We start from the raw sequence: 23673 nt of genomic DNA on the forward strand, positions 1-23673 counted from the left end.
CATTGGGCCCTTTCCACTGTGAAAGGGCTAGTAGCTGATTCTCACAATAGACATTTTCTCCACATGGGTTGGGTTTGCCTTTCTGCCCGCACAGCCTGCCCAATTTTGCTTCCTCCTTCTTTTATCGTTATAGTCATTACTTTCTCTCTGCATCTGCTTCCTGTAAGACTCAACTGACACACCTGTCTTCCCTCTCTTTCTCTCCAGAAAGGGGAAATTGGAGAAATTGAATAGAAGAGGTATGGACTCAGGGATCCCTAAGCACAGTGGGAGGCTGGTATTTAAGGGTATTTTTAAAGTATAAGACTTTCTAATGAGGAATTATGATGCCTCCATACCAAAATCTGCATTCTTAATAGAGGGCCACCCAGTTTCTTTTCCCTTTCTCAACCCAATAGCCAATCAGTTACTTTTTCAAGTCTTCTTAAAGTCTTTAGGGCAAAGAAGGATTAAAAATATATAATCAAATTTTTTTTTATTTTTCTACAGCAAAATAAAAACATTATTTTAAAAAGCAATATTCTACATTAAATACATTAAGATATTGACAATTTTATAAATACAATCATTTTAAACAGTAAACATGATAAATTTCTGATACAAGGTTTTACATACGTTAATTGTGAAAATATAAAAACTTTACACACTTCTCTTAAAAAGCATTCAACGTAATCAATTTTACAAAATTATCAATTTAAAAAGTGTTAGATATGCTTCTATTTTGTTCCATTATTAAGGCAATGATAGCATATCAGATCTTAAAAAAGAAATGGTGAATTAGGGCCTAAGACATCCTATATTGCCTAAAAACGAACATTTCAGAGACTTTCTTAGGCACTGAGTTCAAAACCAGTGAAGGTTGCCTTCTCCCTAGCACCACTACCCCTCATGGTTGTCCGAATCAGGAGACTTCTTCCTGGCTACCCTTAGGGAGAGTCTTCTACACCTATTATTTCCTAGTTTCTAGGAGAAAGGGTTTCAGAAAGAATTTTGACATTTAAATTCTATGCCAGTACTGAAACTCTCCCAAAGATTGAGGCATTCTGCATTTGAATTTTATACAGAAAGTCATGAATCTAATTCCAAAAGAAAAGAGTGCACTTCATTTGGTCACTTAATTTCATACCACTTGGCGAGGTAGGATAACTTTCTTCTTTGACAACTGTCTCGACTATATAAATGGTGATTATACCGGAAAGGGTTCTAATGCCTTTTCCACATTCTTCCAGTTGTGAAAATTCTCTCTGTACCATTCAACTAATAGGAAAAAACAAAAGACAAAAAAAAAAAAGAAAAGAAAGAAAAACTAAACATCAGTTAACCAACCTTTACTGAGTTCCTGCTAGCTAAGTCTTGCCCATCAGCTAAGCAGCAGACAAGGGCTGACTAATGATGTAAACAATTTGATTTTGAACTTAACAATGAAGTCAATCAGAAGACATTTAAATCACCTAAAAAATTTATGATTAAAAATCAACTATTTTTTTCTTCTTAACTTCTAAAGTCATTCAATACTGAACTTGGTATAAATATTTAAGATTCTGATTTTAAGGAATTTGGGGTGTGGGAAATAAGTCATCTGCCCTGGTTTTAAGGTTATTTTATATAAAAAAGTATAATACAGTGTTTAGTCGTATAAATATGGTAACACTGCATGAGAGGCACAATGAGTTGATGTGAACTTCCTTGCTTTTTTTTTTTTTTTTTTTTTAAAGAGATGGGGTCTCGCTGTCACCCAGACTAGAGTGTAGTGGTGCAATCGTAGTTCACTATAGGCCCAAACTCCTGGGCTCAAGAGATCCTCCTACCTCACCCTCCTAAATAGCTAGGACTACAGGCATGTGCCACCATGCCCCGCTGATTTTTTTACTTTTTGTAGAGACAGGGTCTCGCTATATTTCCCAGGCTGGTCCTGAACTCCTGACCTCAAGTGATCCTCCCACTTTGGTCTCCAAAGTGCTGGGATTACAGATGTGAGCCACTATGCCCAGCACCTTCCTTCTATTAATATGTGAAATTATTTTATATTGCTATACTATCAGTAAAAGCTTTTTTAGTTTAAAGAAATCTGATAGTTTTAAATTATTTTTTGTTTCTTAATATTTGACTTAAGTATTTGTATTTCAAGCTCTGAATCAAAACTTTTTTTTCTACATCTGGGTAGAGCTTTTCTCATGAATACATTTCTAAATACAGCTTTAACATGTATACACAGACTTTATATGCACTTATTTTAATAGATTTTTCTGCACATACTAAATTTATTTCCTCTGTTGGTTTCAATATAAAAAGCCTCAAGACACAAAAAAGACTGCATCTATATTTCACCAACTCTAAGATGCCACTGATGGATCATTATTTTACATACATGTAAAAAAGAAAAAAGCTACAATAATAATTATAAGACACCAGTGATTATAAAAATACATACCTTTTAGGAGTGTGAAGAAAGTGAAAAAATATGTACCTCAGAATAAATAATACAGGTATTTGATTAATGCTAACAAGATATGGGAAGATTGATCAGAGGTTGGTTTATAAAATTCAAGATGCTTAGGAAACACAGGACTGCTACTAGAAATATATGAAATGTGGCAATTTGAAAAGTACGAATGATTCAACACAATATTCCACTGGTTTGTATAATGTTCTGGAAATAAGTTATTTTTCCTTTAAATTTTTCTGACTTGCCCCCAAAATGATTAATTCAAAACATACTTGTTTTCTTTATTCCTTCTTTCCAAGGCACTTTAGGTCTCCATCCTAAGCCATGTATTTTTTCTGACTTCATTGGGTATCTCATGTCATTGGTGGGTCTTGGAAAACAAAACAGATTTAAAATAATATTGTAGATATATATTTACAAATTTAGATATTAGGAGATATGTGTTTATGCATTTTTACCACAACCCAACTTTTCTCTTTACAAAAATTCCCAATAGGTTTTCTGCAGAAAGTCTGTAAAATCAAGTATATATTTAAAAAAAAAAAGTCACCCATAATGCCAGGTGCCTAACCCTCTCTGTGTCTTGTCTTCTTGTTTCAGCCACGATCTAGATATAAGTGAAGTACCTGACACATCCAAAAAACTCAACAAATGTTCAATGACTAAATAAACAAATACACAAAAACTTATTAGAACTCATATGCCAGGCTGTGGGTCAGGTATTTCATACACATTATAAATAAGTGTTAGAATACTTTTATAAGAAAGATGTTATTATTGGCCAGGCAAGGTGGCTCATGCCTGTAATCCCAGCACTTTCAGAGGCCAAGGAGGGCGGATCACGAGGTTAAGAGATCGAGACAATCCTGGCCAACATGGTGCAAACCCGTCTCTACTAAAAATACGAAAATTAGCTGGGTGTAGTGGCGTGTGCCTGTAGTCCCAGCTACTCGGGAGGCTGAGGCAGGAGAACTGCTTGAACCTGGGAAGGCAGAGATTGCAGTGAGCCGAGATTGCGCCACTGCACTCCAGCCTGGCAACAGAGCGAGATTCTGTCTCCAAAAAAAAAAAAAAAGATGTTATTATCCCTATTTCACACTGGAGGTTTGAAACTTCAGACTTAGAAAGGGTCAATAGTTTTTTAAGTCACATAGCTAGTAAGTAATAATGCTATACTTAATTTGTATGGTACTTACGATTATGAAAAAAATGTTTTACCAGAAAATTCAAAACAGATAAACTAGTTATTGGTCAAGTCCACATATTTTATAATTTTATAAGTACCTAAGATTTCACAACCTTTCCCCAAGGTTTTAACTTGTTACTCACCTATCATTAACATAATCAACCCAATTTTCCATTTCAGACTCTGAATTGGTCTCTTTGATCTGTCAAAATGGAAAAAGCTTTTGAGTCAAATTATAAAATGAGATCAGAGAATAACAATAGTATTTAATGGCTGATTAAAAAGAAAACAACTGCCTCATAGCAGGGAAGACAGCTAAAATGAACATCATTTTAGTAACACTTTCTATACTTTATAACCTAAATTCCATCTGAAGCTCAGATATACACATTGGATTTTGGTTATTATTCAGTTCCTCTTTCTATTAAACTAAGATTTAAAATTGATGTCCCCTAATATACATGGACATTCATAACTACTAATGTAATTATTTTATATATCACTGTTACTTGTTTTAAGACAATTTTATATTTCTGCAAATGACTTATGCAGAAATATAATTAGGGAATGCACATTTAGTGAATTATTTTTTCCTGAAAAGCTGTTACTAAATAGGTGATCCAACTTAATTTAAGACACATATGGTACACAAAATCATTAATTTCATTTTCTACTTGCTTACTTTTAAATTAAGTAAGCTGTATGCTTCTGATTTTGACTAATGGTCACTGCCACTAACAATTTTGAAAATACCAACCTTTTAAAACAGATACATACCAGTTGTATTAGTTCTTTGGCAAGCTGGACAACTGACATTTCAAAATTGGTTCCGATGTTATAAATTTCACCTGGTTTCCCTTTTTTGAGGACAGTGAGAAATGCTTCTACAACATCAGTAGCATAAAGGAAGTTTCTTGTTTGAAGCCCTGACCCATGAATGCAACTAAAGAGATTAAACGAAGTGAAATCATAAAGTGTAAAAAGGTAAACTCTCCTAAAGCATTGACTGGGTACTACAACTCCAGAGAAGCTAATTCCCATGGGGATCCCAGAATCTTTACTGAAAATACAAATTCTCGTAGCTTTTCTAAATTTTGTTCATATTTCTTAATCTCCAAACCTTCTGAGGGGACTCAGTAGGAAAGTGACCCCTGTGAAATGTGTATTCAATTTTATGTCATAAGTTCATTTTAAAGAAATATCTACAGTTCTATGAATTAAATAAGTCCTTTGAGAAAGTAAAATTATATAAAAATAGATTTCAAATTTTAATGCTATAATTCAAAGTTCTATGATAGGTCATTAAGATCTGAAATTATCTCAACAATTATAAAAATAAGATACAGATTATTTTAAAAACTATTACACTGGAGAAATGATTCTTAAATTTAGTGGGGCATTCAATTCTATGGCCTTTAAGACTTTATGATATTTAAGAAAGTGTCACCAAATACTCTAACATACCAGAAAAGCATATGGGTAAAAAGGTAATAATAACATACCATTTCCTGTTGTGCTGTAGCAAAGATATAAATTTTGGAATAACCTAAAAGAATATTTAAATATCATTTCAGACTGGATATTTACTCATTAGTATGAATCTGAACTCATACCAAAATTAAAAGATTATTAAGAAATATGCATATGGATTGCTTCTAATTATTTTTATCAGTTTATTAAAAAACCTACTATAGTATTTGATATGTAAAAGAACTCCTAGTTTGCTATTTCATAAAGACAGGTTACTTGAAGATAAAATGATCTAAATAGGGGAAAAATGCAGAAAAAGTCTTCATCAGACAGTTGGTCTCATCATAAAGCTCACCTGTGTGCTGACTTCATAAGGGCAGATATTTGTATCTTACTTATTGCTTTACATATAGCACCTATGCATTAAGTGCTTCAGGAATTTATAGAAAGTAAATTCCAGTGCTCTTGGATTCAAAGAAAACTTAAATTAAGCAAAGTAAATATTAATACCTGCAGGTCATGACATGGCCCTTTCCTTTGGGCAAACAGATCAATGCAACCAGCTGGGAAGCAAGAAAACCCAGTCTCCAAATTTAGGCAGAGTAGCCAAAGTTATATAAAATCAGGCTTGATGATATAGAGCCAATTGCACAGGCATTTTCAGCCTCTAAACTACATTTTTTATTCATTACTTGTAGTACTTTCTGGAAGATATTCGTGCCTACACAATAAAGATGAGTTGAGGCACAGTTAGCCAGCTGACACTAAGACAGTTAATGTATACAAGCTTCTTGCATCACTATCTAGCTAGCTTTTGACTTTCTGTATACGCTGACATACTGGTCTGACTGCAAACAGGGAGTCAACTGCAGCGTGACAGTAGAGGTAGAAGTATTCTATAGTGCTTTAGAGTCTTTAGAAGTACAAGGTATTTTCACATATATCATTCTCATTGGATCTTTCAAAATCCCTGCTAAGTGGTGAAGCCAGCTGGTGAGTGTCAGCCAGCTTGAGACTTAAAACTCAAGTTTTCAAACTCTAAGTCTGAAGGAATCTGCAAGTGGTGTTATACAGCATATAAAATTATGTATAATTTACAACATATTATTTTAGACAAATAACTGAAAAGAGGTTATTTCAAACAATGAGAAGTTACAATCACTGAAAAACACCATGAATTAAGAAGTAAAATTTACCTTTTCTGGATATTGATGTGGTCCATAAACATTACTGCTTCTTGTGATGACAACTGGAAACTTAAAAGAATATCCAACATTAAGGCTTTTAAAAAGGTCTAATAATAATGATTATTTTAAAGATAAGCAGAATTTCAAAATATGGGCACCTTTGCCTAAATAATTCCACACACCTTAAGGTCAAAGGGAAGAGATTTTTTTCTAACGTAAGGTTTCTAAAAAGGAGAGAATAGGATTCAGATAAAGGCAGAGGTTCCAAAAGAAAGAAGAGGAATATTCTTTTATTAGTACAAGAAGATAAACACAGATGGCACAGGTTTATAAGTCTGACTGATAGCAAAACACGGAAGAACTTTCCAGCGGATTATTTTAAAGACCACCTCAAGGACTCTTAAGTTGGCTCTCTTCATTGTACCAATCCCTACAAATAAAAAGAGCTACTATGAAAGTGAAAAGGACTGATGCCACCAGAACTCAAATGGTGAGGGAATCTTTAGGAATTCCAAGGCTTGCCTCTCTGACCCAGTCCCTAAAAACTCACAAAGAGCAGTGGGAAGCCAAATGTAGGAGATTCAAGGTGAGGATTCATATGGGGTAAGGCTCCCATACTGACACTGTCAGAGCCACCAGGGGCAAGTCTACTTCCCACTCATGAGGAGCCACAAAAGCCAAATCATGCAGACAGAAGCACATGGCAGAAAGGGGATCTGTCTTCCCTCTGTCTTCCTCCACTCATAGGACTCCAACCTCACTCTGACTATAGCTGTAACACTCTACCTACTACTGAAATAGAAAAAAAAATGTATATTCAAGATTCAAGTTATTCCTTTAATGATGAACTGAATACGAAGAGGTCGGCCCTAATTTGTCCACACAATAGAGGAAATTAGTTTTTAAAATTCCATAATATGTAAATTTTCTCAATCTATGCCTTCTACTCTAAGCATGCTGCTAAAAGCTGACTTGGGCTGGGCGTGGCTCACGCCTGTAATCCTAGCACTCTGGGAGGCCGAGGTGGGCAGATCACTTGAGGTCAGGAGTTCGAGACCAGCCTGAGTGTCAGATTGCGACTGTCTCCGAACAATAAATAGAAAACTTAAAAATATTTTGAAAAAAAGAAAAAAAAAAGCTGACTTGGAGTTTTAACACTTAAGTCCAAAGGAAAATGTTTCAAGAGTTTCTGCAATCAGTTCTTACCTTATATTGTTCCCAGTAAGACTGTACAAAACATTCAGCAGCTGCTTTAGATGATGCATAAGGATTTGTAGGTTGTTTGGGTGAAGATTCATCAAATTCCTATTTTTAAAAATATATATTTAAAAAAGTGTTATGCATATTTTAAGTATAGAAATCAGAGCATATGTTAACACTTCAAATGTCAATCACCAAATTTTAAAAGCCACTTCTTAAATCCTATGTGCCTGGTGTTTTCCCAAGGACATGTGGTAACTTCTTTAACGTGCACAACAATCCTATATAGCAGAGAGAGAGAACAGCAAGTGTAAGGGCCCTGAGACAGAAGCATGTCCAAAGGAATTGCAGGAAGGCTGATGTGAGGCGAGAGACAGTGGGAGAGGAGGTCAGAAAGCTAGAGGAAGGCCATACCCTTGAAGGCCACCGTAAAACAATGACTGATTTTGAGCAGAGTAATGCCAGGTCTGACTTACATTTTAAAAATCACTCTGGCTACTGTGTTGGATCTGATGTAGGGTGGCAGGGTGCATGAAGAAAGAAGTTTACCTGATAAAAATTGCAGAGAATTGAAAAATGGTTACTTCTTGGAAGCAGAATTGAAAATTGAGAAGTGGTCAAGGTTTACTTTTTCTCACTGTAAGTCTTTTCAGACTATTTGATTTTCACTATGTATGTGTCTTGGTAAAATAAGTAAATTCATAAATAATAAAATAAACAGAATGAGATCACTGCAGACACCAATTATAAAAATTATAGATTAGACAATGGAGTCTTCTTTGCCTAAAAAGTGTAATATTTATGCATGATTTATTTTAAAAAATAGATTCTAAGGCTGGACACAGTGGCTCATACCTATAATCCCAGCACTTTGGGAGGCCGAGGCAGGCGGATCACCTGAGGTCAGGAGTTCGAGACCAGCCTGACCAACATGGAGAAACCCCATCTCTACTAAACTACAAAATTAGCTGGGCATGGTGGTGCATGCCTGCAATCCCAGCTACTCGGGAGGCTGAGGCAGGAGAATTGCTTGAACCTGGGAGGCGGAGGTTGTGGCTAGTCAAGATTGAACCATTGCACTCCAGGCTGGGCAATAAGAGCGAAACTCCCATCTCAAAAAAAAAAAAAATAGATTTTGGTTTTTACAAGAATTTTACACTGTCTCCTTGAAATTCCAATATGTTTTCCTGACTGAAAGGGAAAGATGAACAGGTAGTATGCTGCAGCCTAACTTATGCTTTGGTCCATGGAATGACATTCACCATATTTGTAAGAGTGGGACAAAAAGGTGAGATTTGCAATTCTCTTGCAAAATTACAAATAAATCTGTACCTAAAGAGAATTCTGGGGCATGAAAAAATAAATGAATAAGTCTCTACCAAGACTAGGCTGTTGTTCCCCATTTGGGGAGGTATCACTTGATCTGAACAGAGGAGACAATAGAATAATATTCTATGACGGTTAACACTAAGTGTCAACTTGACGGGATTGAAGGATACAAAGTATTGATCCTAGGTGTGTCTGTGAGGGTGTTGTCAAGGGAGATTAACATTTGAGTTAGTGGGCTGGGAAAGGCAGAGCCACCCTCAATCTGAGTATGCACCATCTAATCAGCTGCCAGAGTGGCTAGAATATAAAGCAGGCAGAAAAACATGAATAGACTAGACTGGCCTAGCCTCCCAGCCTACATCTTTCTCCCATGCTGGATGCTTCCTGCCCTCGAACATCTGACTCCAAATTCTTCAATTCTGGGACTCAGACTGGCTCTCCTTGCTCCTCAGCTGGCAGATGGCCTATTGTGAGACCTTGTGATCGTGTGAGTTAATACTTAATAAATTCCCCTTTATATATCTATTCTATTAGTTGTGTCCCTCTAGAGAACCCTAATACACTCTGAAGAGTGCCACAAGTGTATATAATTTGAGGATGAAAAAAGCCCAGTGTAGGTTTAATAAAACTGTATCATGGTACATGGTTAAGTAGGTAAAATATACATTTTCTAAGCTCACCTTATCAAGACTGCCACCATATACTTCATCTGTGCTGACATAAATAAACTTCTCCACTCTGGCTTCATGAGCAGCACTTACCAAAACGTGAGTGCCATAAACATTAACATAGGTAAACTCAAAGGCACGTACGAATGAAAGATCTAAAAGAAAAGAGTGAAAAGCTAAAACAAGTCTACCCAACGGATAAAACAAATGCCAAATGATGGACTCAGGTTTAAGGAGAGTACTAGTCACTGTTCTTCATTTACCACAGCTGCAAGAGTTATAATAATAACATACACAGGCAGTCATATTTATGATTTCTTTAAACCTAAATTACATAGTACATGTAAATTCTCAGAACCCAGAAAACTAATGTTAAATTTGCAGGAAAGTTTTTTATTCTATAAGGAAGAAAATTTAAAAATAATACATGAAAATTTAAAATGTTTTTAAATTAAAAAAAATTATGAATTACAGGGATAGGCTTTTTAAGATCAATCTGTTACTGCTGAAAGCAATAAATGCTGAATGAGTTATTTAAACATAAATTCACCTTACAAGAATTGAACCTCTATAACCAGGAAACGGAAGGAACTTCCTTAATGATGAATCACAATCCAGAAGCAATAATGGAAGAGGATGATAAATTTGACCATATAAAAATTTTGCATGGTTAAAAAACTAAAAACAAATTAAAAAGACAAAAATGACAAACTGGGAAAAACCATGTGAAATTACAGAGATAAAGGGTTAGTATCGTCAATTTATAAAGAACTTTAAATAAATTAAGAACAATCCTATAGTAAAACAGGTAGGAGACATAAACAGTTTAGATGAAGAAATATAAATGGGTCCTTAAGATTACGATGATCAATGTCACTTACAGTAAGAAAAACCCAAATTAAAAACTCAGAGATACCACTTCTTACTTACCAGACTGGCAAAAATTCAAAAAGTTGACAAATCACTTAGTTGTTGAGGCTGTTAGGCAAAAGACACTTTGTACACTGACAATGATGATGTAAAATGTTTACAATTCCCTAAGGAAGGAAACTTGGAAATATCTAGTCAAATTACATAGGCATTTCCCTCTAACCCAGAGTTATGGGCTAAACTGTGTTCTCCCCATAATTCATCTTAAGGCCTAACCCCTTCCCCCAGAACCTCAGAATGTGACTATATTTGGAGATAGGGCTCTTAAGGAGGTGATTAAGTGAAAATCAGGTCTTTAGGATGGGTCCTAATCCGATCTACCTGGTGTCCTTAAAAGAAGAAATGTGGACTCACTGTGTGTTTTGGAATAAAGTAAATGAGTAATTAGGATGGTGCTGTTGAGAACCAAGGTGTTCAGGGTATGGAAAAGATGATATAAATGAAAGACTGAAGAACTTAAACAAAAAATCTCAATGCGGATTGGACATTTCAGTATAAACCCATGTCATATTTAATCTTAAGTAAATAGGCAAATAATATTCCCTAGTTTTGTTAACTGAAAAAGCCTTGACACAATGTCCAATCAGTTAATAAGCACTCCCAGTGCCCAGACTGTGGCCTCTAAACACCATTTCCCACCAAAAGGAACAATGGCTCCTGACAGAAAGGGCTGATTCCAGATCTAGGGGGAAAAACATTGAAGATAAAACTGAAACATCCTATCAAACCAGAAAGTTAGATGGTTGTCAAAGACTGCTAAGGTCATGTCAAAAAGGACTCAGGAAGCAACTAGAAGAGCCTCTCAATGGCTAATGGTGAGTCATTTTGAACATAAATAAGAAAAATAACTGCAAATGATTAAAACAAACAAAATCAAATGTGTTAAAATCTACAAATTCATAGCAATATTAAGAAAAAAGAAAAATGAGGATGCTTGGAAACCAACTCATTATAGTAAAATCTACTAAATAAATAAAAATAATCAGGCACTTAACCTGGCTTTTCCATAACAATTAAATCTCAAGGTAACCAAATAATGTATAAGGAAAACTTTTTTTTTTTCTCTCTCTCTCTGTTGCCCAGGCTGGAGTGTAGTGGCGCAATCTCAGTTCACTGCCACCTCTGCCTCCCAGATTCAAGCCATTCTTGTGTCTCAGCCTCCCGAGTAGCTGGGGTTACAGGTGCCCACTACCACGCCCAGCTAACTTTTTTGTATTTTAGAGATGGGGTTTCACCATGTTGGCGAGGCTGGTCTTGAACGCCTGACCTCAGGTGATCCACCTACCTCAGCCTCCCAAAGTGTTGGGATTACAGGCGTGAGCCACTGCGCCTGGCTGGAAAACTTCTTTTTATGTAGATATTCCAGGTATAAATGAAGAATGACATAATTAGGATATCATTTTGTAAACCCCTAATATAATGACTACTGACTATATAAAATAGTAATAATGTCATCTAGTGGAAATAAAAAAACAAAATAAAATAAGATCAATTTAAAATTCCAGGCAGGACATGGTGGCTAATGCCCGTAATCCCAGCACTTTGGGAGGCCCAGGTGGGTGGATCACCTGAGGTCAGGAGTTTGAGACTAGTATGGCCAACATGGCAAAACCCCGTCTCTACTCAAAATACAAAAAAATAAACCGGGCGTGGTGGCACACGCCTGTAATCCCAGCTACTTGGTAGGCTGAAGCACGAGAACTGCTTGAACCTGGGAGGCAGAGGTTGCAGTAAGCCGAGATCACAACACTGCACTCTGGCCTAGGTGACAGAACAAGACTCTGTCTCAAAAAAAAAAAAAAAAAAATCCAGATAAAAACTGAGTTAAAAATAGCTAAAAATGGAGTTGGAAATTAAATAGGAAGAGGGCAAAGGTTTTGATGAACTTTACACTTTGATAAGCTAATTACACATCTGTAATTTGTAGAGTAACCACTCCAAGAGTACAAACAGAACATATAATTTCCAAACTAGTAGAGGGAGAAAAAGAGAATAAGAAAAATTCCTCAGTCAAATCCTTAAAAAAAGCAAGCAAGCAGTTTTTTAAAATAAACAATTTTTTACAAAGGAATAATTCTTTTTTTTAAAAAAAGTAAGCAGCAACCAAGGAAACAGAACAGGTGGGAAAAGAAAGCGTACAGTAAGATGGTAGAAATAAATCCAAATACAGCAACAAACTAAACACTGAGGGCAAATGCCGAGGAGGGTCAGAATGGGTTTAAAAAAATCAAAATCCAAATACATGTTGTTTACAAGACATGCAGCTAACCCATAAAACTAGAGAAAGTTTGGAAATAAAAAGATGGAAAAAGTATCATGAAAATACTAACCAAAAAGGAAGTAACACAGCTATATTAATGTCAAACAAAATAGATTTTAAAGCAGTACACATCACCGGGGAAAAAAGATCACTTCATAAGTATAAAAGGTTCAATTCACCAGAAATATACAAGAGATTTAAAGAACATCATTAACCAACTTAACCTAATGGATGTGTAAAGAACAATGGACCCAATGTTTGCAAGTTAACATTCTTTTCAATACACACACGATTTACGGAAAGTGACCATATACTGAACCAAAAAGCAAGTCGTAGCATAAAGGACTACAATCATAGAGTACGTTATCTAATCACATACAATTAAGCTAGAATTCCATAAGAACAAGAAAACCCATACATGTTTGGAAATTAAGACATACGTGTCTAAGTAACCCACGGATGAGAGAAGAAATCAAATTATTTTTTTTTTTTTTTTTTTTTTTTTGAGACAAGGTCTCATTCTATTGCCCGGGCTGGAGTGCAGGGGTGCGATCTCAGCTCACTGCAACCGCCACCTCTTGGGCTCAAGTGATCCTCTCACCTCAGCCTCCCAAGTAGCTGGGACTACAGGCACATGCCATCATGCCTGGCTTTATTTTTTATTATTATTTTTTGTACAGACAGGGTCTCACCATGTTGCCCAGGCTGGTCTGGAACTCCTGGGCTCAAGTGATTCGCCTGCCTTGGCCTCTCAAAGTGCTAGGATTACAGGTGTTAGCCACTGCACCCAGCAAGAAATCAAACTCTTAAAAGATAATGAAAAAATACATATGAAAACCTGTAGGATTCAGATAAACCAGTATTTAGAAGTAAATTTATAGTCTAAAATGCATACATTAGAGAAAACGTGAAAATTAATAAGCTAAATATATCACAAAGATTAGAAAAAAGAATAGAAAGTAAGCCTAAACAAAGTAGAAATAATGAAATAATAAAGGTAAGACCAGAAATTCATTATATAGAAAACAAACACGCATAAGAAAAGATCAACAATGTCAAAGATTGTTTTTTTGGAACAACAATGTCAAATGTCAAATGTTGTTTTTTGGAACAACAGGGTGGGAGGTTTGCTTTGCTGGTATAAAGAATTATTATAAAGCTACAGTAATTAAGACAGTGTGATAATAGTATAAGCACAGACAAAGACCAACAGAATTGAATAGAGCCGAGAAACAAAAGCATACGTATATAAACATTTGACCCATGACAAAACTGACAATGAGGAAAAGTCAAGTCTTTTCAATAAATGATTTTGAGTCAAATTGATATGGGTATGGGGAAGAAATCTAAATGTAAAAGGAAAAACAATAACTTTTAAGAAAAGAATTATAAGACAACATGTCCATGACCTTGGAGGTGGGAAATGAGTTCTTAATCAAGACAGAGCCGGGTGCGGTGGCTCACGCCTGTAATCCCAGAACTTTGGGAGGCTGAGGCGGGTGGATCACGAGGTCAGGAGATCGAGACCGTCCTGGCTAACACGGTGAAACCCCGTCTCTATTAAAAATACAAAAAATTAGCCGGGTGTGGTGGCGGGCGCCTGTAGTCCCAGCTACTCGGGAGGCTGAGGCAGGAGAATGGCATGAACCCAGGAGGCAGAGCTTGCAGTGAGCCGAGATTGCGCCACTGCACTCCAGCCTGGGTGACAGAGCAAGACACTCCATCTCAAAAAAAAAAAAAAAAAAAAGAGACAGAAAGAGCACTACCCCTAAAGAAAAAGGTAAAGATAAATTAACCCACATTGTAATTAAGAACTTTCACTAATAATAAGACACCATTGAAAACGGGAAAAGGCTGGGCGTGGTGGCTCACGCCTGTAATCCCAGCACTTTGGGAGGCTGAGACGGGTGGATCACCTGAGGAGGGTGGCTCGTCTGAGGTTGGGAGTTCAAGACCAGCCTGGCCAACATGGTGAAACCCCATCTCTATCAAAAATACAAAATTAGCTGGGCGTGGTGGCGCATGCCTGTAATCCTAGCTACTCAGGAGGCTGAGGCAGGAGAATCGCTTGAATCTGGGAGGCGGAGGTTGCAGTGAGCTGAGATCATGCCATTGCACTCCAGCCTGGGCAATCAGCGAGACTCTGTCTCAAAAAAAAAAAAAAAAAAAAAAAAAAAAAGAATGCAAAAAGGCAAAGCAGACTGAAAAAAAGGTAGCTGCAAAAGGCTTGGATCCAAAATACATAAAGGACTTATAAAAATCTATAAGGAAAAAACTGACAACCTAATAGGAAATGGTCACGAAACTTAAATGGAAATTTTCCAAAGAGGATATACTAACAAAGAGAGGGAGAATAGTCCAATAAACAAATGGAAAGGTTTTTAACTTCATCAGGGAAAAATAAAACCACAAAATTGACACAGCAAGTGTTGGCAAGCATCTCATAAATTGCTGGTAGAAGTGCACAACTGCTTTTATCATTAACCAAGTAGAAGGACTTGCTTTAACAGACATGAAATCATTGTATTCGTCAATATAGTGCGTAATCAGACAGGCAGAGACAAATAAATGAAGAGAGACAGAGATACAAAAATAAACTTGATATGACGGAGGGCAGAAACTGGTGAACTTTTCAATAAATGGTACAGGAACAATTGGTATTCACATGGAAAAACATGAAATTGGGGTTATATAAGAATTAATTTCAGATGGATTACAAATCTAAACATAAAAGACAAAATTATAAAGCTTTGAAAAGATAATATACAAAAATACATCTTCGTGACCTTGGGGTAGGAGAGAATTTAAGAACTGAAAAAGCATTAAGCATAAAGGAAAAAACATACATTGAAAACATCTGTTCATCAAAACACACTGTCAAAAAAGTGAGAAGATAGGCCATACAGAGAAGGCTCTGTAACATATGTAATGATAAAGAACTAGTGTCCTGAATATATAAAAACTCTACTTGCCATTTTTTCTCATTGAAACTTCTCTTTCAATGAGAAAAAGGTAAACAATCCCATTTTAAAATGGACAAAAGATTTCTTTTTTTTTTTTTTTAAGATGGAGTCTCTCTGTCACCCAGGCTGGAGTGCAGTGGTGCAACCTCAGCTCACTGCAAGCTCTGTCTCCCGGGTTCACGCCATTCTCCTGCCTCAGCCTCCCGAGTAGTTGGGACTACAGGCGCCTGTCACCACGCCCGGCTAATTTTTTGTACTTTTAGTGGAGAAGGGGTTTCACCGTGTTAGCCAGGATGGTCTCGATTTCCTGACCTCGTGATCCACCCGCCTCAGCCTCCCAAAGTTCTGGGATTACAGGCGTGAGCCACCGCTCCCGGCCAAAATGGACAAAAGATTTCAACAGCATTTCATAAAGGAGAAATCCAAATTACAAAAAATCATATGAAAAGTACTTAATCTTATTAGTAATCAGGGAAAATACAAATTAGAAACATGAGAAACCACTACACAGCACTGAAATTGGCAAAAATGGAAAGACTGACAAAACTAAGATTTGGTGATATCTGGAGCAACAGGAAGTCACACACTTCTGGAGGAGTGGAAGTTGGTATAATTACTTTGGAACATGTTTTGACATTATCTCAACGTGAAGTATGCAGATCTTATGATCTGTTATATAGCCAAATGTAATGTATACTTATGTATCATGATACATGTTCAAGGTAGTAGTGCTCAAAATTGCTCCAAAGTGTAAAGAACCCAAATGGCCATCAAGAATAAAGTATATTAAGTAAACTACTACAGTGTATGTGTATATATGTATTTTTAGACTGGAATATTATGACACTGAAAACAAACAAACTGTATCTATATCCAACTCCATGGATTAATCTACATCGATTTTGAAAAAACAAAAAAAACTCTACATATCATTATATATATATATAAAATATATATTTAACATATATTAAGTATATTTATATATATAATATTAAATATACATATATTTAAAAACACCCTAAGTTAAGCTGTATTGTTTAGGGATAAATATACAGACAACAAAAGTGTAGACAAAAGCAAAGGAAATTATAACTTTAAATCTGGTAATAGGCAGCAGTAATATTTACTACTGAAGAGGATTCAGCAACATTCTGTCTTTTGTTCAGGTGACAGATACATGGGTACTCCATTATCATTATTTAACTATTTCTAAATGCTTTTGAATATGTTATATTTCATAATAAAACTGTCAAATTATTAGAAAATATCTAAAATTCATAAAATGATATAAATAATGTCCATCTGCATACCCACAACAAAATTTAAGAAAAACAACATAAAAAATACAGTTGACGGCCCATCTCCCCGTTGCTCCCCTTCACTATCCTGAATTGGTTAAACTCAAGTTTTCAGACAGCAGTCAAGGTTGTATTTCACTAATATAGCCTTGCAATGCTAATAAAAGTATCTAAAAAGTGCTGAGTTTATGGATAACACAGTCACCGTGGGCTTGTTTTTCTAGTACAGTATGATATATCCTCTTTCAAATATAAGTATTAGGGGGGCGAGGGCGGGGAGAGAACTGCCAATCATAACTGTAACATAAAACAATGCTTACCTACATGTGTTTGTGCGGCAAAATGTAGTACTATATCTATTTTCTCTGTTTCAAAAAGCAGTTTCACAAAGTGAGAATCACATATGTCACCCTATATGAAAAAGCAAACATGAAAGGGCCTAGGTTTCATACAGCACTCTCATTCATAACCATTTTTACTATAGCATCCCCCTACCTCCCACCTCCCTGTTTAATAGAGAATGCCTTGAAAATTCAACTAAGTGCTCAAACAAGGATACCAATGATGTATTTCTCCAGCATCTTAGGATATTAGATATTCAATTCAAACTATTTTTCCAAATAATATTTTAATGAGCACCAACAACTACTAAGTACCATGCTAGTGTTGTCCGCAACATTTTTGCCAACCCAAGGCCACTATATTAATACAAAACTTTTTTTAGCACTTTTTAAAAAACCTTTCAGATAACCATTATTAAAATATATCTTAGGCTGGGTGTGGTGGCTCACGCCTGTAATCCCTGCACCAAAGTGAGGTGCAAGTTGAGGCGGGCAGATCACTTGAGCTCCAGAGTTTGTGACCAGCCTGGCCAACATGGTGAAACTCCATCTCTACTAAAAATATGAAAATTAGCTGGGCATGGTAGCAGGCGCCTGTAATCCCAGCTAGTCGGGAGGCTGAAGCAGGAGAATTGCTTGAACCCCGGAGGCAGGGGTCGCAGTGAGCTGAGATCACGCCACTGCACTCCAGCCTGGGTGACAGAGCAGACTCTGTCTCGAAAAAATATACTGTAACAACTGGAATGATATTTTGAAAACACATTTTATCACAATTAAGTAAAATTATGGTACTTCTAATGTTTATATGTACATTTAATTATTCTAAAAATATGTATTCTCGACAATTCTTCAGTAGCTGAAGAAAACACTTTCACACAGAATAGAATTATGAAATGGTTGTTAGTATATTCTTTAAGTTTTGTAGTTAAAAAGAGAGTTTATAGAATAACTTTAAAAAATACATAAGTTAAATAGTTTCATTTGACAATAACATTTCCCTTTGCAAATTAATGAACTGGTCCTGTGGCTTATACTTTGGACTTGTCTAAAAGTGAGACTTCCAGAGTCAATCAACCTTCATAGGGAAAGACTAGGGAGGAACTAAAATACAAACCATGTGAATTCAGTCAGCTACTGGTAGATCTCAAAGGTACCAAAAATCACATGTAGCTTTTTATGTGTTGTCAATCAAAAGTAGTATCCTCTAGAGCACATGGTACTTTTGGAAATTAACTACCTGATCTTTTAAAAGGTCTTTAATTAGTGTTCTTTTCAAGCCCACATTACACAAGTTTGTAAAGTACAAAGATACTATAATCTCTGCATGACTAAAGAGGCACGGTACAGTTACAAGAAAATGTTCATACCTGTATAAATTTGTAGTTCTGTTTGTTAGAAATGGTTTCAAGATTCTTCAAGCTTGCACAGTAATCCAGCTTGAAAGAAGAGAGCACAGAAGGGGCAACACAAAAAGTGACATTAGCTTTTCCAATCAAATACCAATTTATTTTAAAGACTACAGATGTTACTGGTTACAATACAAGAACATGTCCTCTTAAAGTGTGTTTGCTCCCTGTCTTTACACTACTTTTTTTTTGAGACGGAGTCTCACTCTGTTGCCCAGGCTGTAGTGCAGTGGCGCAATCTCTGCTCAGCACAAGCTCCGCCTCCCAGGTTCACGCCATTCTCCTGCCTCAGCCTCCCAAGTACCTGGGACTACAGGCACCCGCCACCATGGACCGGCTAATTTTTTGTATTTTGTAGTAGAGGCAGGGTTTCACCATGTTAGCCAGGATGGTTTTGACCTCCTGACCTTGTGATCCGCCTGCCTCAGCCTCCCAAAGTGCTGGGATTACAAGCGTGAGCCCAGCCTGTTTTTACACATTTTAAGTTTCTGACATCTTAAAAGTAAAAAACAAGTAATTGTTACCTTTTCAAAGTACCAAAAAACAAAACAAAACAAAAACCTTTTCATAAATCTCTACTTTAAAAAATGTTCCTAGCTGGGGGTGGTGGCTCATGCCTGTAATCCCAGCACTTTGGGAGACTGAGGAGGGCGGACCACAGGTGAAGAGATTGAGACCATCCTGGCCAACATCGTGAAACCCCATCTCTACTAAAAATACAAAATTTAGCTGGGCTTGGTGGCATGTGCCTGTAATCCCAGCTACTCAGGAGGCTGGGGCAGGAGAATCGCTTGAACCCAGGAGGTGGAGGTTGCAGTGAGCTGAGATTGTGCCACTGCACTCCAGCCTGGCAACAGAGTGAGAGTCCATTTCAAAGAAAAAAAAAAATGTTCATGCCAAAATTTGCCTGTAGCCACTGGTGGCTAGAAAAGTTTACCATTTCTTACAGAAAAGGAATTAGTGATTGAAAATAATTACACCTGTGTTATACATATTATAATTCATTATACCTATTCCTCAAACTGTTGGTATATTGGTGATACAGAAAAAATTCCTGTCCATAATAGCAAGTCAGGCAAAGCTTCATAAGAGTTAAGGGTTCTTCTTATGATGGATGTCCCAATTACCCTGATTTGATCATTACACATTGTATACATGTATCAAAACATCACCATATGCCCCATAACAAGTACAACTAAGATATGTCAATTAAAAAATAGAAAAAAAATCCAATTAAGGCTTATAATCACCAAATTGCCTTATGAATTTTTCTTATAGTTTTTTTGAATGAAAATCCAAAAAGTCCATTTGCAAAGTAGCAACTGAAAAAAACAAAATAAAACAAAAACTTTATTTTGTGGACCAACATAAGAAATGCAGGTTTCAAAAACTTTTATATAAGATTAAATACAGCATGAGCACATTACTATACAGAGCCTCTGAATTGCTAAAATGACTAAATAAAAAATTTAAATATCAGCATGACAAGATTCTAGTACTTTTAGAAAACATAAATTGAAATGTAATTTCAGTGCATGATGCTCATTTTTATAAAACTCACCTTGTCTAGATTTATGATCATATAGTTTGGATAATCTTCCACTAAAGAGACAATCATATGTGATGCACTATGGAAAAAAAGTATATCTTGTTAGTGAAAAACTTTAACTTCCCTAAACTCTTGAATATTTTCCTAAGGTGTTGAGTACTAGGAAAATACTCAAAGATAACTTTAATTTTTTCTAAGATAACAGAAAACATAACTACACTAAATATACACACATGCAAACTTTTTACCAAACTTCTCAACAGTATCTATAAACAAAAGTTTTACATTCCATTTAGACTATGCAGAAGAGAGAATGTACTGGTTCTGGGTATAGGGAAAAAAGTCAGTTTAACCAAACGATGCCATCCATACAGGTACAAGTATCGAGTAAAGTGGAACAATAAATGGGAGCTAGTCAGCACAACTGTACATGCCTATAGCATGCCTTTTCAGGAACTGCAGATATAAGTATGTAAAAATGAAATTACTATGAGTATAGTCAGTTGTCTATATTTAATAGTAACTTCTGCAATTGCTATTTCTTGGTATAAGATTTTGGTAATGTTAAACCAGAATCCTCAGGAGGCTTCTAGACTAAACCCAGGATTCCCAGGCTAATAACAGCTGAAACCATTCTGAGTTGGATATCCACAGTGGGTCCTGGGCTTCAGAGGACCCTAAAGGGGAATCACAGGCATATCTCAGTGAAATGATCTACCAGATTTACCATGTATACTTAAAATGTTGGGCTCCCAGGAGAGGGGAGCCCTTGACCAAATTATGAACTTGAAGTTTGTATTCGGCATTCCTTTCACAGCACTTTCTAAGTCGCACCCTTCCTGGACCCGCACTCTCACACAAGTATCACCCTTTCATGTCCATAGTCCTCTTTCTCATTAAGTGAAACTTGCCAGCCTGATGCTCTCCCCCAAATGACTTGTCGGATTAGAAGGGGTGATTTAATGTGCAAATGGCCATAAACAGGAATCCTCACATTCCCACTTCTTCCACTAGCCACTGAGTTCCTTGAGGGGAGGATAGGAGAGTTTCCTGTTTATTACTCTTGCATTCATCCATTCCACAATTACTAAAGACTTATATAGAATGGGCCAGGCATTCTTCCAGGTGCTGAATGAACAGTAGTCTCTGTCCTTACCGAGTTTGCATTTTAGAGTGGGGATACAAGCAATAAACAAGCAGACACAAATCCGCAATATAATTTCAGGTAGAGGTTAAGTGTGCTAGTTGGGAGAGGGGCTATTTTAGATATGGTGGTCAGGTAAGAACTCTCTGAGGTGCTATCTGAATAAAAACCAGAATTGAGTGGTGCAAACAGCCTAAGGAAAGGGGAAGCAAGTGCAAAGGCCTCAAGACAGAAGTGTGTATCTTGGTGTGTTCCAAGAACTAAGAGGGGAAGCATGGCAGGTACAGAAAAGCAGATCAGGTTGCAAAAGTAGGGCTTGGGCACTTGAGTTTTCTAGATATGGTAGAGTTTGGGCTTTATTCTTAAGTGTGGCAGGAACCACTGAAGTAAAATCCTGCTTCTACCATGATCTGATTGACTTAAGAAACACTGACTTGTATGTGAGCAACAGGCTTTAAAGGAACATGAGTGGACGCAGTTATGGCCAACCAAGAGGCTACAGCAGCAGTCGAGGCAAAAGATGACAGTAAACATGGGCTAGGGTGGAAACGGGAAACTGGTGAGAAGTGGTCGCCGTAAGGATATACTTTGGAAGTAGAGAGGACTTGCTGCTCGAATGTGGGTCTGAGGAAGAAAAGGGTGTCAACAGTGGATTTGTAAAAGTTTGCTGATTACATAGATGTCCTATTATAGTCCTTAAATCGTTTTGGGGGTGCCTATATGTACAGGGCCCATCGTGGGGTGTGGGTGCTCTAGGCTGGAGGTGGGAAGCAGTCGGTGAGCAGCTTAGGGTAACTTGCACGCACTCAAGGAGTGACATGGTGAGCACCTCCGGCCACAGAAGGGCGGAGAGTAACGCAGCTTTGGAAGAGGCGTTTTAAAGAAGTCAGTTTCAAAGGAACCACTTCTTTGCAGGCCAGAGAGAGAAAAGCTGGTCCAGGTCGTGCATTAGGACCCTCCCCATATCAGAATAAGGACCCCTCAAAGCTGGACCCAAATTACCTAGGGCAAGCAGAGCTGCGGGAAAAGGTAGGGGTTTCTGGGGAGCCACTGCTTGGCTAGCGGCGCCATTACCTACATGAAACCAGCACCGCCGGTCACCAGGACCCGCTTCGCAAAGCCGCCGGGAAGACCCCACGGTTCCTCCCAACACGCCGCCGACATCTCCCAGCTCAGCAGTGCCTAGTACCGTAAAGAGTATGGTCTGAAAAGCGCAGGGAAGTTCCGCCGCGACCTTTTGCGACGCGCCTCGCTCGCGGGACACGTTAACAGAGCAGCCAGAGGCAGCTTCCGGAGACTGCTCTGTGGCCAGTTTCTGCCCGCCCACTAGCGGGCTGGGCGGGGCCGCGCTCACCACGCGCAGGCGCTGCTCCTTTCCGCCCTTGCCTGGTCCGCCAGGTGCAATTGGGGTCGCCCGGATGGTAGGGGTATGGAACGTTTTTCCCGGAAATGCCACCACTATGGATCAGATTTATGAATGAGTACCTTTTTTCATTCTTGTACTACAGCCATCTCTAGAGGTTACCTATCAGTTGAGCTGAGAACGGGGAGTTGTTGCAGATGGAGATGGGAGGTTGCAATTTAAAAATGATTTTTTTTTTTAGTGGGGCGGGGACAGGGTCTCCCTCTGTTACCCAGGCTGGAGTGCAGTGGTGCGATCACGGCTCACTGCAGCGTCGACCAATGGGGCTCAAGCAATCCTCCCACCTCAGCCTCCTGAGTAGCTAGGAATACAGTCGTGCGCCACCACGCCCGCCTAATTTTTGGTAGAGATGGGTTTCGCCCTGTTGTCCAGGCTGGTCTCGAACTCCTGGGATCTAGCCAACCTCCCGCCTCAGCCTCCCAAGGTCCTGGGATTACAGGCGTGAGCACCGTGCCTGGCCTGCAAAATGATCTTTTGCTGTTGTTAATATTATTTCAGGCCGGGCGCCGTGGCTTACGCCTGTAATCCCAGGACTTTGGGAGGCCGAGGTGGGCGGATCACCTGAGGTCAGGATTCGAGACCAGCTTGGCCAACATGGTGAAACCCTGTCTCTACTAAAAATACAAAAATTAGCCGGGCGTGGTGGCGGGCGCCTGTAATCCCAGCTACTTGGGAGGCCGAGGCAGGAGAATTGCTTGAACCCGGAAGGCAGAGGTTGCAGTGAGCCGAGACCGCACCATCGCACTCCAGCCTGGGCAACAACAGCAAAACTCCGTCTCAAAAAATAATAATATTATTATTACAGACAGCGCAGAAGGCTTGCAATCATGATAAAGATATTCCCTAGGTCCTACGCTGATGTCTTATTCTATT

The 23673-nt window shown here is 37.8% G+C and overlaps 1 protein-coding gene across 6 annotated transcripts, besides 1 other annotated feature; it reads right to left on the minus strand.

The window, feature by feature from the left end:
• Positions 459 to 22678, minus strand: TGDS (TDP-glucose 4,6-dehydratase). 6 transcript variants are annotated; one of them, NR_130731.2, is made up of 12 exons: positions 22456 to 22557; positions 20246 to 20312; positions 18646 to 18714; positions 17262 to 17348; positions 9499 to 9641; positions 7496 to 7594; positions 6299 to 6358; positions 5135 to 5178; positions 4410 to 4575; positions 3776 to 3834; positions 2719 to 2816; positions 459 to 1257 (listed from the first exon to the last, which is right to left on the minus strand). NR_130731.2 is itself a non-coding variant. In XM_011521066.3 (12 exons), exons 2-12 carry the CDS (start codon positions 20300 to 20302, stop codon positions 1187 to 1189), a joined length of 957 nt encoding a protein of 318 aa, XP_011519368.1. In that variant the 5' UTR covers positions 20303 to 20312; positions 22567 to 22678; the 3' UTR covers positions 459 to 1186. The 6 variants fall into 6 exon arrangements, 4 of the variants coding, with proteins under 4 accessions (XP_011519368.1, NP_055120.1, XP_011519367.1 ...); XM_011521066.3 differs by lacking the exon at positions 22456 to 22557 and adding an exon at positions 22567 to 22678 and having other exon boundaries at positions 17258 to 17348; NM_014305.4 differs by having other exon boundaries at positions 17258 to 17348.
• Positions 22421 to 22730: an enhancer, noted in NCBI's record as "active region_7866". NCBI's record gives its function as "activates an Ori minimal core promoter by ATAC-STARR-seq in GM12878 lymphoblastoid cells {active_cell/tissue: GM12878}" and the evidence as "EXISTENCE:reporter gene assay evidence [ECO:0000049][PMID:35858748]".

The sequence above is a fragment of the Homo sapiens genome, chromosome 13, assembly GCF_000001405.40.
Source record: "Homo sapiens chromosome 13, GRCh38.p14 Primary Assembly".
Classification (NCBI taxonomy): Eukaryota; Metazoa; Chordata; class Mammalia; order Primates; family Hominidae; genus Homo; species Homo sapiens.

What these genes read in the sequence shown, in the direction of transcription:
- TGDS (NM_014305.4), bottom strand. Translation starts at nt 22,541, where the DNA reads ATGTCGGCGGCGTGTTGGGAGGAACCGTGGGGTCTTCCCGGCGGCTTT. An exon ending in TGATCATAAATCTAGACAAG is followed by an intron (nt 18,715 to 20,245) that starts GTGAGTTTTATA and finishes TCTTCTTTCAAG; the next exon opens with CTGGATTACTGTGCAAGCTT. An exon ending in CCAAAGAACTAATACAACTG is followed by an intron (nt 3,835 to 4,409) that starts GTATGTATCTGT and finishes CCATTTTGACAG; the next exon opens with ATCAAAGAGACCAATTCAGA.